General features: G+C 35.1%; 2 long non-coding RNA genes across 2 annotated transcripts in view; one reads left to right on the top strand and one right to left on the bottom strand.

The window, feature by feature from the left end:
* LOC101929380 (uncharacterized) overlaps positions 1–17,120 on the bottom strand; it is a 127,874-nt gene that overhangs the window by 109,383 nt on the left and 1,371 nt on the right. Inside the window, exon 2 of the long non-coding RNA NR_105018.1 lies at positions 986–1,185. This is a non-coding gene — a long non-coding RNA (uncharacterized LOC101929380). The remainder of the gene's footprint in view (positions 1–985; positions 1,186–17,120) is intronic.
* MIR4280HG (MIR4280 host gene) overlaps positions 16,444–17,120 on the top strand; it is a 73,290-nt gene continuing 72,613 nt past the window's right edge. Inside the window, exon 1 of the long non-coding RNA NR_186582.1 lies at positions 16,444–16,818. This is a non-coding gene — a long non-coding RNA (MIR4280 host gene). The remainder of the gene's footprint in view (positions 16,819–17,120) is intronic.

Here is a 17,120-nt window from a genome sequence, read left to right as displayed (position 1 = left end):
CACTGCAGTTATGGCCAGTGCTGACACAGTCCAGTGTCTAAAATCTGCCTTGGCTTGTTTCAACTGTTGGCAATAGTTTCAACCTTAAGTTTAAGTAACAGTTGAAGAAAAAGTTGTACATTTGATTAACTAGAACAGTAGATATTTCCAGGTATAAAAACATTCCACAAAGGAAGAAAATCCAGGCATTTCCCCCTACCACTAGCTTTATAACCCTCAATCTCAAAAAAGTGCTACAGACACCCTTTTGAGCAGATGAGGGCTACGATGAGCTCTGGAATTCTTTTGATTTTTATGTTTGTCGTTAGTTTTTCAGGCCAGCTGGCTAAGCAGGGACTATTTCTAGCCTAAAGGAAGCTCTAAGGAAGACCTTGTGATTTAGTTGCTAAGTAAGTATTTCTGCAGATGCTGTTATCTTTAGGTAATGATGCCCTACTTTGCAAATAAAATGATGCATTTATTTTGGAGTATTGGTTGGGTTTCTGAAATGTTGAGCTTTCTAATATGGGATTCTGCTATTAACTACTGGTGTGCCTTAAGACACTGACCCCTATTTGTAGTGAAGTATTGGTTTGGAAGGTGTGCAAATTTCTCTCTGGCTTTGACTCCATTTGTGTCTGAATGCCTACTAGGATTAAAAAATATCCTGGTTTCTCAGCCAGAATGGAGAGTAGATTTTCTGGCCTAGTTTGTGTAAAATGGAATTCCCAACTGCTGTGAGGTGCAGACACAGCAGCCTTTTCATATGTGACAGAAAGCTGCACACTGTTATGTGGGTAACTTGGTTCCTTGTCATATGTACTACCCGACTCCTGAGACGTCTCTGCTTGTGAAAGAACATAATAAACTCCCTGGTTTGTCACCAGTGGTTGTAATACTTTAAATATCTCAGATTATTTTGGGTTAAGCAGGATTGAAAAATATTATTATATTTTTTGCCTGTGGGAGCAAATCATGAAAGATTTATTTTTAATTGCTCACTTGCCTTCTGCCAAAACTCAGTTTCTTGTCCTTGTTCTTCTCCTTCTTCTTTTCTTTTGAAATCCTATTTTCCACCTTATATTAAAGTTGAGTAGTTTGTAGATTGAGTTATTTAATCCAGATAAGTAGGACTTCCTTGGCTCTCTTGATTGCTCTGACCTCATTTGTGCAGCAGAACCGACCGCCCTGGCCTTCTGGAACATGCTGTGGGGAAATGAGCATGATTTGAAAGTCAGACTTATTTTCTTTTCTTTTCTTTTTTTTTTTTTTTTTTGAGATGGAGTCCAGACTTATTATCAAATACCACTTCTGCTGTTGGCTCGCTCTAGTAATCTGGGAAAATCATTTCACCTTCTCAAATCTTAGTTTCCTAATCTATTTTAAGAAAATATTTAATAATGTATGCAAATAATCTAACACACTAATTCATAGTAGGAATACAATAAATATTACTTTCTATCATCAGTTCCTCACTCAGGTCTTTTTGTTATTATTTGTTGTTATTACAGCTTGGCAACTGGGTAACTTGATTTTCATGACTGTAATAATATATTAATAGCAAGATATACTCTTAAGAATTTCAGAATTCTTACTGGATGCTACCCAGTAAGATGCTACCCACCTGCCCACACGCATGCTAACAAAATGTGAAACAAATAGCTACTTTTATGCACTGTTTCTTACAAAGGGAGAGTTGGAACTAAGAAATTGTCACATTTGGGGCTACAGAGAGGAAATGAAGGAGGTGGGAGGAGGACCTGAAATTCTTGCTTTTCACAGTGCTATGATAAGCATTATTAGATCCTGTTCTTTGCTCTGAATGTCTTATTGCTTTTTGTAATACATATTTTATCAAAAGTGCCCAGAGAGATGGTTTAACATTTCATTTTGTTAAGAAAAATAAAACCCAGAAAATTATAGGCTCTTAGATTTTGGAGCACAGTATGTTGTGTTCCAACGTAGAAATTAAAACAACCACCACCAAAAAACCCCAGTTAAATAAACAGGCCCCCAAATTGATTAAAACATAAAACCTGACATTAGATCTTTTCAGTCTGAAATTCTACAGAGAAGTTTCATTTAATATGCTGTTTTTGCACCATACAGAACACATTCCCTGACTACTGGTAATTTTCAGTCCTTTACAAATTTTGATTTTGTTTATGAAAGTCTCAGTTTTTTAAAGTCTGGGTGTGAACCCATCTAAACAATAACAAAAGCTTCTTTAATTGGCTTTTCATTTCCATTTCTTTTCTTTTTTGTTTTTAGAGACAGAGTCTTGCTTTGTCATCCTGGCTGGAGTGCAGTGACTACATCATAGTTCACTGTAACTTTCAACTTCTGCACTCAAGTGCCTCTTCCACCTCACCCTCCCAAATAGCTGAGATTGCTAGCGTGCACCTCCATGCCTGGCTAATTTTTAAACTTCTTTTTGTAGAGATAGAGTCTCTTGCTGTTGCCAGGCTGGTCTGGAACTGCTGGGATCAAGTGATCCTCCTGCCCTGGCTTTCCAAAATGCTGGGATTACAGGTATGAACCACAGCACCCAGCCCAGATTCTCATTTCTGAATCAAATAATCCAATTTCACTTACAAGCAAATGTGAAATATACAATGAACTTGACAAGTTTTTTTGATAAACATTGTTGAATTGTAATGAAATATCTTCACGATTTGTTTTATGCCATTCCTAGGTCTTTCTTGTGAATAAATATACCATATTAGTCAGTATTGAGAAGGCATTCATTCATTAGCTGGGAATAGTAATTGAATGTAGGTGCTTTAATTTTAGAAAATCGTTTTGCTAAAATTTTCTTAACTTTTATAACCTCCTTCATATTACATTTATTCTTAATTTTTTTATTATACTTTAAGTTTTAGAGTACATGTGGACAACGTGCAGGTTAGTTACATATGTATACATGTGCCATGTTGGTGTGCTGCACCCATTAACTCGTCATTTAACATTAGGTATATCTCCTAATGCTATCCCTCCTCCCTCCCCTCTCCCCTCCTAAACTTTAATGGTGTAGTAATGAAAATGCCTTTAGAGACCATTAACCCACCCATATCTCTTATGGACTGAATTGTGCGCCCCCTCCCCTCATCCAAATTCATATGTTGAAACCCCCCAATAGCTCAGAATGTGACCATTTTAGAGATAGGGTCTCTAGAAACTAATTAAGGTAGAACCCATTAGGGTGGGTGCTAACTCAACATGACTGGTCTCTTTATAAGAGATTAGGACACAGATAGGCACAGCGGGAACACCATGTGAGGACATAGTGAGAAGACAGACATCTACAAAACAAGGAGAGTGGCCTCAGAGGAAATGAAGCCTGCTGATACCTTGATCTCAGACATCTAGCTTCCAGAATTTTGAGAAAATAAATTTTAATTGTTTAAGCCACCCAGTCTATGGTGCTTTATTATGGCAGCCCTAGCAAACTAATACAATATCTTAAATGTGGTCATAGTGTTGTCTGATAGACTAAAGCTTTCCCATGTGGGTCCTTCCTTTTGCCAAAATTTCCTTTATTCATTTTTAAATGCCACGAAAGTGTGACTGGCAAACTTTCTGTGCATAAAGACAGTCATGAACTGCATAATCATAATGAGATTTCTTTAACTTTTATTTTAGGTTCAGGAGTACATGTGCAAGTTTGTTATATAGGTAAACTCATGTTGCAGGAGTTTGTGGTACAGATTATTTCATTACCCAGGTGATAACCCTAGTACCTAATAGTTATTTTTTCCAATTCTCTCCCTCCTCCCACCCTCCAACCTCAAGTAGGCCCCAGTGTCTGTTATTCCCCTCTACATGTCCATGTGTTCTCATCATTTATCTCCCACTTATAAGTGAGAACATGCAGTACTTGGTTTTCTGTTCCTGTATTAGTTCATTAAGGATGATGGCCTCCAGGTCCAACCATGTTCTTGCAAAGGACATGATCTTTTTCTTTTTTATGGCTGTATAGTATTCTAAGGTGAATATGTACCATATTTTCTTTATCTAGTCTACTGTTGATGGGCATTTAGGTTGACTCCATGTCTTTGCTATTGTGAATAGTGCTACAATGAACATACATGTGCATGTGTCTTTATGGTAGAATGATTTACATTCCTTTGGGTATATACCCAGTAATAGGATTGCTGAGTCGAATGTTATTTCTGTTTTTAGCTCTTTGAGGAATTGCCACACTGCTTTTCACAATGGTTGAACTAAAAGTGTTCCCTTTTCTCCAAAACCTTGCCAACACCTGTTATCTTTTGACTTTTTAATAACAGCCATTCTAACTGGTGTGAGATTGTATCTCATTGTGGTTTTGATTTGCATTTCTCTAATGATCAGTGATATCAAGCTTTTTGTCATATGCTTGCTGGTCACATGTATTTCTTCTTTTGAGAAGTGCCTGTTCATGTCCTTTGCCCACTAATTAATGGGATTGTTTGTTTTTTTTCTTGTAAATTTGTTTAAATTCCTTATAGATTCTGGATATTAGACCTTTGTCAGATGCATAGTTTGCAAATATTTTCTCCTATTCTGCAGGTTGTCTGTTTACTCTGTTGATAGTTTCTTTTGCTGTGCAGAAGCTCTTAAGTTTAATTAGGTCCCATTTGTCAATTTTTGCTTTTTTGCAATTACTTTTGGCATCTTTGTCATGAAATCTTTGCCGGTTCCTATGTCTAGAATGGTATCACCTAGGCTATTTCCTGGGTTTTTATAGTTTTAGGTTTTAAATGTAAGTCTTTTATTCATCTTGACTTGAGTTTTGTTTATAGTATAAGGAAGGGGTCTAATTTCAACCTTCTGCATATGGCTAGCCAGTTCTCCCAGTACCATTTATTGAATAGGGAGTCCTTTCCCCATTGCTTGTTTTTGTCAGCTTTGTGCATAATGACATTTCTCTCGACTGCATATGTGACAGTGGTCGCATAAGATGATAATGGAACTGAACAATTCCTGTTGCCTAGTGATGTCTCGATGATTCTGACCCTATGTAGGCCTCGGATAATGTGTTTGTGACTTCATTTTTAACAAAAAAGTTTAAAAAGTAATAAAAAAGAATTTTTTTTAATAGATAAAAACCTGTAGAATAATGGCTCACCCCTGTAATCTCAGCACTTTGAAAGGCCGAGACAGGAGGATTGCTTGAGCCCAGAACTTCGCAACCAGTGTGGTCAACATGACAAGACCCTGTCTCTACAAAAACAAAACAAAACAAAACCAAAGAAAGAAAGAAAATGTTTTTGTACAGCTGCACAATGTGTTTGTGTTTTGAGCTAGGTGTTATAAAAGTGCCAAAAAGTTAAAAAATTAAAAAGTTTATAAAGTAAAATGTTACAGTCAACTAAGATTAATTTATTATTGAGGTACAAATTTTAAAAGATAAATGTAGTATAACCTAGGTACACAGAGTTAATAGTCTATAATAGTGTCCAATAATGTCCTAGGCCATTCACTCACCACTCACTCACAGACTCACCCAGAGCAACTTCCAGTACTGCAAGTTTCATTCATGGTAAGTGCCCTATATAGGTGTATCTTTTTTTTTTTTTTATCTTTTATACTGTGTTTTTACTCTACATTTTTTTTGTTTAGATATGTTTAGATACATAAATACCATTGTGTTACAACTGCCTACAGTATTTAGTACAGTAACATGCTGTACAGGTTTATAGCCTAGGAACAATAGGCTATACCACAGAGCCTAGGTATGTAGTAGGCTATACTATCTAGGTTTGTGTAAATGTACTCTCTGATGTTCACACATGATGAAATTGCCTAATGACTCATTTCTCAGGACATATTCCTATTGTTGAGTGATGCTTAACTATATATTAAAGTATCTTTTAATGACAAATATTCTATAATTTAGACTTGGGACAAATCAAATAGACTTTTCCTCCCAATTGTAATAAATAAATGAGATCTTACTGAATAACCCACCACTGAGATAATTTTTACAAAATCAGTTCTAGGAGTACATTCTCCATATTCAATCATTTCCTAAGTCTTATTGTTTTTACTACCTTTCTTAAAATATGGTATTTTACTACCTTATTTTCCCTTCTAGCTTTCACTACCCTAATTTATACACTAATGTTTCTCCTGAGCTCATGTAATAACTTCACAAGTGTTTTTATGCATAGACTCTTTCTACCTCAAACTATTTATTACATAGATGTCAGAGTTATAATTATGACACAAAAATCTTTTCCTGGCAAGTGTATTCAATAGTTTCCCATTATCTACAAAATACAATCGAAACTGCTTTCTAACACATCAGCATACAATGCATGATGTAGCCCCCTCAGACCTGTTCTACATTATGTCTCTCCCCAGTGTTCCAAGCTCAGCCCTGTTTTACTCCCTCACATGGAATTAACTCTGTCTCCCAGAATGTATTGGACTTATGTCTTTGCATGTGTTGTTCTCATTATCTGTAATGCTTTCTCCAATATTCTCTGACAAAGCTTTCATTTTAAAAGTTGTAGCTCAAATAATACCTTATCTCTTGGTGAGTTAATTAAATGTGCCTTCTGTGCTCCCATGACATACACTTCACAGCCCCAGGTATGTCTCCTCACCAAATCAATGCCTTTCCATATTTGACTACTCATTGCCTAGTGTCATGCCTTCATGGCGGAGGGACTCAATAGCTTTTAAGTGAACCCAGAGAATGAAGTGGGTTATGTTCTCATAGAACTACTGAAGAACTACTGAAAAGGCTCTATATCCACCACATAGTCTTTATGGAAATGACTAGAAAAGAGGATCATGCCATTAGGGTCAGTTTTCTCCACAGAAATAATGCTCTAATTGGGGGGCCCTTGTATAGAGAAAGGTAAATCATAGCTTCGACCACATGGGAAAAGCAAAGATATAACAATTATATAACAATCATGTTTATAACAATTATAAACTTTAATTACTAAACTACAACCTTATGTTTTAAGTTCTATAAGATAGGATATACATGTTCTAGATATATTTATCATTGTTCTAGATATATTTATCATTTAATATTGCATAAAATTGGACATTAATTAATTTTGCTTAATCTTCTAAAATGGATTTAAGGCTGCTTGGAAAACACATAGCAGCAGGACCTTTACAATAAAAATTCGACAATTCTGTACTTAAAATTGAAGTAATATTAGGCATTAAAAAACATTTAATATGTCATTTTTGTTTCCTTAGGATAATTTATTTTGGAATTGGTGTGAAGTAGACTTAGACTTTTCTGAAAAGTGTCTGAATTTGCATGCACAGTTGGAGGGACATGGATTAGAAAACATACTTGAAAGCAATTTAGCTTCACGTTTTAAGATTCTTCAAATTGTTCATAATGTATGACCTAGTATTTACAATTCTGGGAGCTGCTCTTAAAAAATAAATCAGACATATTAAAAAAGCTTCATTAACAAACATATTTATCACAACACCGAAATTCAAAAGATAAAAAATCATCAATAAAATGTTAGTTAAGAAAACACGGTTTACCTGTTCAATGTAATATTTTCCTGCCATTAAAAATTTACAATAACAAGGCAGAACATTGGTCTTATAATAGTAGAAAAAGGCGGGATGCAAAACAATGCTTACAATGAAATCTCAGTTATGGTATCAAAATATGGTGAGGAAAACTAGAAGAAAATTTTTCAAAATATGAATGGTGACTGTTGCTGAAATGTAAATTTTTTAAACATTTGTTTACTGTTTTCTAGTTTATACCTACTACTATTTTTAAAAATAATTTCAACTTTTATTTTCAATTCAGGGGGTACATGTGCAGGTTTGTTACCTGGGTGTGATGCTGAGGTTTAGGGTATGATGATCCCATCACACAACTACTGAGAATAGTACCCAATAGTTAATTTTACAATCCTTGCTTCCCTTCCTCCCTCCCGAGTCTAGTATCCCCAGTGTTTATTATTTTCCTCTTTATGTACATGAGTACTCAATGTTTAGCTTTCACTTATAAGTGAGAACATGCGATATTTGTTTTTTGGTTCCTGTGTTAATTTGCTTAGGATGATGGCCTCCAGCTGCATGCATTTTGCTTCAAAGGATGTGATTTCATTCTTTTTTATGGCTAGGTAGTATCCCATGATACATATGTACCACATTTTCTTTATCCAATCCACTGTTGATGGGAATCTAGGTTGATTCCATGTCTTTGTTATTGTGAACAGTGCTGCGATGACCCTATGAGTGAATGTGTCTTTTTGGTAGACGATTTTTCTTTTGGATATATACCCAGTAATGGGATTGCTGGGTCAAATGGTAGCTATGTTTTAAGTTCTTTGAGAAATCTCCAAACTGCTTTCCATAGTGGCTGAACTAATTTACATTCCCACCAACAGTGCATAAGCATTCCCTTTTTTTCTGCAGCTTTGCCAGCATCTGTTTATATTATTTTTATAATTGGAAATTTATTAACTTTGAAAATTATGCCATTGATTTTAGCATTTTCTCAGAGTTCTAGAGGCATGAGTCATTATTTTTGCTGACAGAAATTTCTCCTATCTAAAAATGATTTTTAGAAACAAGGTCTCACTATTTCCCATTTTCTCTGTTTATTCCAAGTTATAGCAGCGTTTGCTTGTGTTGATAGCTATTGATTTTGTGGAGGGTACTTCATTTCATGAACAACACTAGCCATTATTCTAAATAATACTAAGCCATTAAGAAGGACTTTCAGGCCAGGCGTGGTGGCTCACACCTGTAATCCCAGCACTTCGGGAGGCCGAGGCGGGTGGATCACGAGGCCAAGAGATCGAGACCATCCTGGCCAACCTACATGGTGAAACCCCATCTCTACTAAAAATATAAAAAAAAATCAGCTAGGCATAGTGGCGCACGCCTGTAGTCCCAGCTACTTGGGAGGCTGAGGCAGGAGAATCGCTTGAACCTGAGAGGCGGAGGTTGCAGTGAGCCGAGATCACACCACTGCACTCCAGCCCTGGCGACAGAGCAAGACTGTCACAAACAAACAAACAAACGAACAAAAAAGAACTTTTAAAGTAAAAACATCTTAGCGACTTGCTAAAATGGTACTGGGAGAAAGGAAAGTTGGATATGGCCTACAGTGTGTATTTCCTGCATGAGGCTCTCTTCTGATTCTGTTAATAAAAATTTAAAGGTCATATGTCTACCCTATATAGCAATAATAGAGAGTCTTCCCTTAGTAGATTAGTGACCATATATGCCTGCTCTCAGTTCTTACTTATTTCTTATATTTACTCTACTGTTCAATCCTGGCTTCCCTTTGGATGGTTTTTATTTGTGAGGCAAAAACATGTTCTTATGTTACTCCTTGCTCTTGTTTTCATATTTAGTCTCAAATGGCATAGTCTTTATTTCATTCCTGACTATTTAGCCATGTCCTCTGGGAATAAATTGATATTTGCTCTTCCAGCAGTCCCACCAAAGTGTTTTGAGTAAATGACTTACTAAAAATATTCCATTCTTTTCTGAATCATTTTGAATGATCATTTCTAAAGGAAGTGCCTTCCTTTAATCTGGAACTACTGAATCACAGACAGATGTTCTCCTGTTTCCAGTCATTTTGAGCACCAAATCTAGGAAGCAAATAAATCGAATTCTTCATTATCTGGGATCCTTTTAGATTTATGAAAAACTTAAGTGCCTATTCTTTCCATTTTCTCCTCCATTTTTACTTTGGCTATTTGCTTTTTCAAAGCTGTTGCAGTATCTTCACACAGCTGAAATAAAGCATGAACTTAAATCTACACAATATGATGGGTTTGTTACTAGTGAATTGAACTGGAGTATTTTCAAATAATCACTTTGGCAAAATGACTACTACTTACAGAGACAAGATTTGGACCTGAAACAAGATGTCCACTAGCCTTTCCTCCTTGGAATGTGCTAGATATCCCATACCTGACAGGCTCAGCACATTCCCTTAGGGTCTTTTTCTTTTGGTACCACTGGCTTGCCAGTGGGTAACATCCTTACAAGTAGAAAGGTTAAAATATGTACTATTTTGGGGAATCTCTGAAAATAAATAACCTGCAAAAGTACAAGCTAAAAGCAAAGTGTTTTTCTCAAAGAAAAAATTACTACATAAGCATTTCCTCAGGTACCAGTGTGATGCATGAACTCACAGATGGAGGAGGTGGCCTTGTCAGGATGCCAAGAATGCAGATACTTGAAGGGAAATTTTAGTGGCGGAAACAGAGACGTTAACTGGCAGATGAGCCATTGGAACATTTCCCAGGTAAAAAGTATTTTGTTTAAAGAAAGGTATTTTTTGCATGAATTATTACCTGAATTTAGAAAAGAGACTTCTTTAATAAGTCTGACTCACAAGAAATATAGCTCATCAATAAAAATATCATTTGAAGATATTCTTAACAATTGGTCAGTGTTAATCAAATATAAGCATATGATTCTTCAAATGCCAGTATAAATATTTGGATGCTGAGCATTTTACAGACTCTCAGGAATGAGCAAGAAGAGCATGAAAAAATGCATTTAAGTTCTTTGTGTATGATCATGGGATGAGTACAGTAGAATACGTAGAAATGTCATAACTTTAGAGGCAAAAAGTCACAGTTTTCTAATCTGTGAAACAAAAGATAATAATCTCTAACTCCAGACTGTTTGTGTATTAAATTGTAATATTATGATATGCTGGAACTGGGATGAAACATTTAAAGGTGGCTAAATATTGGGAAACTGCTTTTTACTTCCTTGGGGAAAGCATGAAGATGAATAAAGGAATTTTTGGATATGAGAAAACAGGGACAGAGTCATATTGGCTACTGTGATGTGATACATTGCTTTGCATTAAGAACAGCCAAAAGAATGTTGCAGAGGTGAAAGAGAAAATAAGAATTAAAATGGTCAAATTGAATGAGTGGGTTGAAGTATTAAAGGTGCTGAGAGAGATGAGAACCAAACATGACTTGATTTAAAAACAATTCTTGCAGCTCAAAGTAATCTTCAGTATATGACTAATTTTGACTGAAGAAAAGCATGAGCAATAATGAACAGAGCTAGTTATAGAAGGCGATGGAGGATGTGGTCTTTTGTATGAGGTAAGTTTGAGGAATGCAAAACACAGCTCCCTGGTTGACAATATTCACTTACTTCTTCTTAAGATCCATATTCCATTCTCATTGCCAGTTACATTTCTCAGTCCCTAGAATAAGCTAAATAAATGTTCTTATGTAAAGAATGAATGAGTATCTTAGGTTGTGTTCCATTGAAAGCAGACCCTAAAATAAGGGTTCAAGTACAAGTAGTTTATTTGGAAGGTAAGCCCAGGAAGCCCCATTAGAAGAGTGAAGTGAGACAAGAAAAAAGGAGAAAGGAATACAGAAAAGGGGACCCTAATGAGTAGTTTACCACTGTGGGCCAATGGGGCTCATTTCTACTGGGGATCTCTGAGCAATGATGTTGAACTCCCATATTTTATTGGGTGAAGGCTGCTGCTGAGGACAGTCAACTGTCTATTACTTCCTTCCTGAGCTCACTCCTATAGGACAGAAAGCCTTTAGGCAGACAGTCCGAGGTGTTTGCAGTGAGAAGCTGTAGACGGTATAAAACCTGCAAGTGCTGAGGGGCCATGAGCAGGGCACTGATAATGTCTGCTATAGTGTGTGAGCGAATTACAGCTTCCTGCCTTTGGATCTGTGGGCCATTTTGTATTCAAATGTCCAAAAATAAAATGTCAATGCCTAAGTAACCACCAAGCTATATTAATAGACATTTTACTTATCATCTTAGTTGACATGTGGTAGAAATCATATCTTACAGGGAAAAGATCCTAGTAGGGGAAAGGCCACTGATGAAGTGTGTGTAGAGAGGGTGGTAAAGAGTGTTAGAAGGTAAATTTGTGACTTAGCAATGTTGCCTAGGACAGGCCCTTTTTATGAAGATTCTGATTGTAGTTATTTTATGTGTTAGGATAAATATTCTTGTGTCTTAGAGAAACTATGAGGCTTATAAAGTAACTCCTTCCCTTCTTCCATTCCTTCCAAAAATATTTCATACAACATTTTATTATTATTGTTATTGTTATTTTGAGACAGGGTCTTGCTCTATTGCCCATGCTGGAGTGCAGTGGTGCAATCATGGCTGACTGCAGCCTCAAACTCCTGGGCTTAAGTGGTCCTCCTGCCTCAGCCTCCTGAATAGTTGGGACAGGTGCACACCACCGTGCCCAACTAATTTTTTAATGTTTTGTAGAGACAGGGTCTCATGTTGCCCAGGCTGGTCTTGAACTTCTGGGCTCAAGTAATCCTACTGCCTCAGCCTCCCAAAGTGTTGGGATTACAGACATGAGTCACGGCACCTGGCTGATACAACATATTAAATAACTGCCCTCATCTTCCAGTAGGATTTGCTCTAAGAATTCGGGTGACAGTGACACAAAATAGCATCTTCCAATTTAGAGAAAATTTCTGTTTGCTCTTTTCTAATCGTGGTACTTAGAAAAGTTTCTATAGTTTTGAACCATCAACCTAATTCTATACTTGTTTGACCTTTAATAGGAGCCTAAGGCAAGTACAGAAGTCAGAGTTTGCCTAATATACTCTCCCAGAGGGATTGTCAAGTATATTTCATTTATTGGATTGTGAATTTTTAGAGTGTCCAGATTCACTCTTTACCACAAAATTTAGAGTGTCCAGATTCACTCTTTACCACAAAAATTCAAGAGTAATTATTTTAAACAGAACTGCATTCCCACAATAAGTGCTGATTTGTATTATTTTCCAGTTCATACTTTGAAGTATTAACAGACTGAAAACTGAGCATTTTATTGTTGCCTGCTTTTTTTTGTCTCCATTTGTCAAAGAAATATATGGAATATATCCTGTTAACCAAGCTCAAATGCTTTAAATTTTATTCACTGGCTATTCAAAAAAACAGAGATTTTAAAAATACTTGAATTGTTTGAATAATTTATTGGAAGGCCACTATACCGCCAACACTGAATAACTTAGTTTAAATAGGTATAGCCTCAGGAAATGTCATTACAAATATTTGTCTGAAAGTCAGTTGCCTAGATTAGTTCAATTTTTTATTTTTCCCTTTAGCTTTGCTTTTAATGTTTGCAAATAAATACAGTATTTATTGTTTGTGAAAATATTATTAAAGTAGAATATTTCTCAGATGATGTTTCCTTTTAACCACTTCATTAACTAAACTCTGAATCAATGTGTAATCACTACATTTTTTTCTTTAGATACTTTTTTTCTTTAGTGTCTGAAGAAAGCAGCTGTGGCTTATTCTCACAGCCAGAACTCAGCCATAATAACATGAAAAAATATTATTCAATGTATCATAATAATGGCTAACACTTCTTTAGGTTTTAATTTTTGCTTTCTTAACATATAACTATTTGATTATTATAAATAATATTTGAGTGTTTGAAAATCATTACTCCCTTAAAAAGAAACTTATAAGATACAGAAACTGTAGAAAATATTTCGGTAGAGGATATGGTTAGAAACCATAAGAAAAAAATCAATTAATGCTAAGACATTGTCAACCATGGCCTTGTTTCAATATATGTTTCTTTCCAAGAAAAATAAATTCCATTATATCACCACATCTGTATGTATGTACAAAATTCAATAAAACAAAACTGGTCATGCTCAGGAAAAAGCACGGTTTAGGGAGACATTGTTACAATAATTACTTTTTTCAAAGTTCAGTAAATTTTTAAGAAGCCATCAAATAAACTTCTATTCTCAAATGAGAAGTTGTCACAACTACTCAGTTTGGATCATACTGAAATCGGGGTTTTTTAATGAACGAGGAAGATACAGACAGTATTTTAAAATTTTCTATCCATTATATTTTACATTTTCTTTTGATAAACAAATGCGTGCCCTGATCAAAAGTCTAAATTATTAAAAAAAAGTGATATAATGAAAATAACTTTTTTTCTCCCTTGATTGCTTGTCTCATAGGTTCCTCCCCGGATATAACTGACATTAATTTCAGATGTGTCTTCCAGAAACATTCTATGCATTCACAGTAAAATAAGCCAAATTTAATGATCCATTATGTATAAAAAACCATTTACCTTTACATATCCTTAGATTAATAAATTATACTTAGTTTGACAACTTACTTTTAAACTTAGTATTTCTTAGACATTTGATAACAATAAATTATAATTCTAATTCACTTTAAAAATTACTACAGAGTATTACATTATTTGGATAAATATATTTAGTGTATTCAGTATGTTATTGTCAGAAATCTAGGCTGTTTCCATGCTTTTCAGTGATGAACATTTTCAGCAGTCAGCATTTAAAACTATTTATCTTTGTACCCAGGTGGATGCATATTTATAGGATAAATTCCTAAATAAAGGTTGCTGTTTTTAATTTTTAAAAATATTAATATTGATAGACATTGAGCAAGGTACACTTCATATAGAGTTTTTATTGAATAATATTTTAGGTTGGAAAAGTAATATAAAGTTTTTGTTCACACTCTCAAAAATTTAGTATCTCTTGCACTAATTTGTCACTTAGGCTATGTGGCTTTACATGTGTTTTTTCAAAATAGATTTAAAAGTTCTTGAAGCTGCTCTATTGTCTTCTGTCTTCATATTTCTCATGTTAAGTAATAAGACATGTCTTGGAGCAAGTGCCATTTAAGACTCCTCTAACTGGTAACTTGAAATTTTTGACATTGCTACTTCATTATCTAGTATAAATGAATAATCTCAGTGTTGCTTTAGTGCCCACTTGTTTCTCATATTAGTAAGTTATTGCAAAACTTAGCATTTGAACAGAATTGGAAAATGAATAATATAGTCAAGTTTTCTGTATCACATATGATATTGCTTTTAAATTCTTATTTTATTAACTCTTATTTTTGAAGAATTGTTTTTTGAATAGCTGTGATTCTTTTTAATTTTTATTTTTTCTTGGATATCTAAATCTTTTAATTTTTCTTCTTTAGGATTTATATACTTCCTTTTTAGGTTATGTTATGATCCTTCTCTCCAACTTAAAAACTTAAAACAATCAAATAAAACAACCATATCTTGTCAGAGTTATGCTGTGATTTGTGTACAAGTAGAAGGCCAGGTGGACAAATGACGGGTACTGTAAAATGAATCCAAAGCTACAAATGCAGCTTTGTTTGCAATGACAAATAGCTCTCTAATGCAACTAATTTAAATATGAAGGCTAGGTTATTGCAATAAGCTAAAAACCATTTAAAATCATTTTTAGGAAAAAAAACCCTCTCCTTGGATGTATGTGGGCTGTATTCTTAGACTTTGAAGATCAGGCTTAGGAGTTAATATTATTTAGTGGTGATTGGGACAGAGTGTCATTTTGTGACACTCCAGGACAAGTAGCCTCAGGGTGTCATGAGATTTCATGCTAGCTTGGTAAAATGAAATAATTCTAAATGACACCTCTGAGCTACTCTGAAAAGTTAGCTTTCTAATGAGAACTTAGCTACTGAAGAAGCACTTGGCTGAGTAACAAATCTCTCTACCTTTGCAAAGAATTTCTTTTTTTTACCCCCTGCTGGCATTTAAACTCAACCATTTACATTTAGGAAATCACCAATATATGTAAAAATGAAAAGGAAGGTAGAGAAGCAGCAGAAAAAGTGTGGTTGAAATAATCATTTAGCTATGATGACCATGCCAAATGTAGGTAATATTTAGAAAAAAAATTTGGATGCCATACACACAGAATTGAGGAAATTAGTTTTTGATATAGATATGTCAGAATTGGTTCTGTGATATAGTGGCAGTTTAAAAGTGTTTTCCCAAGAGAGGACTGTCAGATTCTGCTCTAAAACCAATAGAAAATGACTCAGTCTCAATTATACTTTGTATCCTAATTGCAGAGACCTTTAACATAATGACATAATGAACAATTAACACTCAACAAAGTATCAAAACCAACCACAAAAACTGCTCAAGGACTTTCAGAAAACATTCATTCTTTCAATAAATATTCACTGTAGTCCAAGAGATGTAACGAAGAACAAGACTAATAAGATTCTTACTTTTTCAAAATTACATCCTCATTGGGAGACACAGATGAATGAAGTAAGCACACATATTTATCAACTAATTTCAGATAGTGTTAAGTTCTAAGACGAAAATAAAACAGGGTGATGTGATAGAATGTACCTTGTGTGTGGATGTTGCAGAGAGGGTCAGCTTTAGTCAGGGAAGGCATCCTAGATAAGGAGGTATTTGTGCTAAAACCTGAATGATGAGGACTCCACCACGTCAAGATTTGGAGAAAAGGCATTCCATACAGAGAAACAGCAAGTGCAAAGTCCTTGAGATGGGAAAGAGCATGGTATGTTCAAAAAGAAAAAAGAACACCAGCATGGTGACAACAGAAGGGACAGTGTTGCAGAAGATGAGGTCAGAGTGATAGAGAGGAGACAGATTGGACTTTTGTTCTAAGTACAACAGGAAGCGATTTCAGCATTATAAGGAGAGAAAGGAAAGAATATGCATGATTCAAAATGATCACATTTTCATCTGGATGAAGATTAAATTGCAGAGGGGCAAACTTAGAAGAGGAGAGACAAGTTAGAGGTTTTTGTGGTAGTGCAGGTGTTTGACAATGGTGGTGAGATTAGCATGGTAGTACTGGAAATAGTAATTAGATTCTGGATACACTCTGGGAGTAGGGTCTACATATTGAGGGTTTGGATATAGAGAACAAGGGGAAGAGAGGAATCAAGCATCTCCCCTAGGATTTTGCCTTGAGCTGCTCGTGAAGTGGAAATGCATTTACTGAGAGAAGACTGGGGGAGAACAATTTATAAGGGAGGAAATTAGAAGTTCTACTCCAGGTATGTTAAGTTTAAAATGCCTATTACTTGTCTAAGCGGATCTTGACTACAAAACTGTCTGTAGTCTCAGCAAACGAGTTCTGTGGGCAATCAGCATTATTCTCTTTTTCTTGCCTTCCTGCATATTCGTAGCTTGAGGGAAAAATAGAAAAAAAAAATTCACTTGTTTATTCATTCAACAAATATTTATTAAACCATCTATTCCATAAACATTTATGCTAGGCACTGTTCTAGCAAATGTGGATAGGGGAATAAACAAGTTCTATTTTGTATCAAACTTTTTTTCCTTTTCAGGTTTAGTT

The sequence above is a fragment of the Homo sapiens genome, chromosome 5, assembly GCF_000001405.40.
Source record: "Homo sapiens chromosome 5, GRCh38.p14 Primary Assembly".
NCBI lineage: Eukaryota > Metazoa > Chordata > Mammalia > Primates > Hominidae > Homo > Homo sapiens.
Note: the sequence above shows the minus strand (reverse complement) of the source record. Positions and strands in the feature narration are given on the sequence as shown.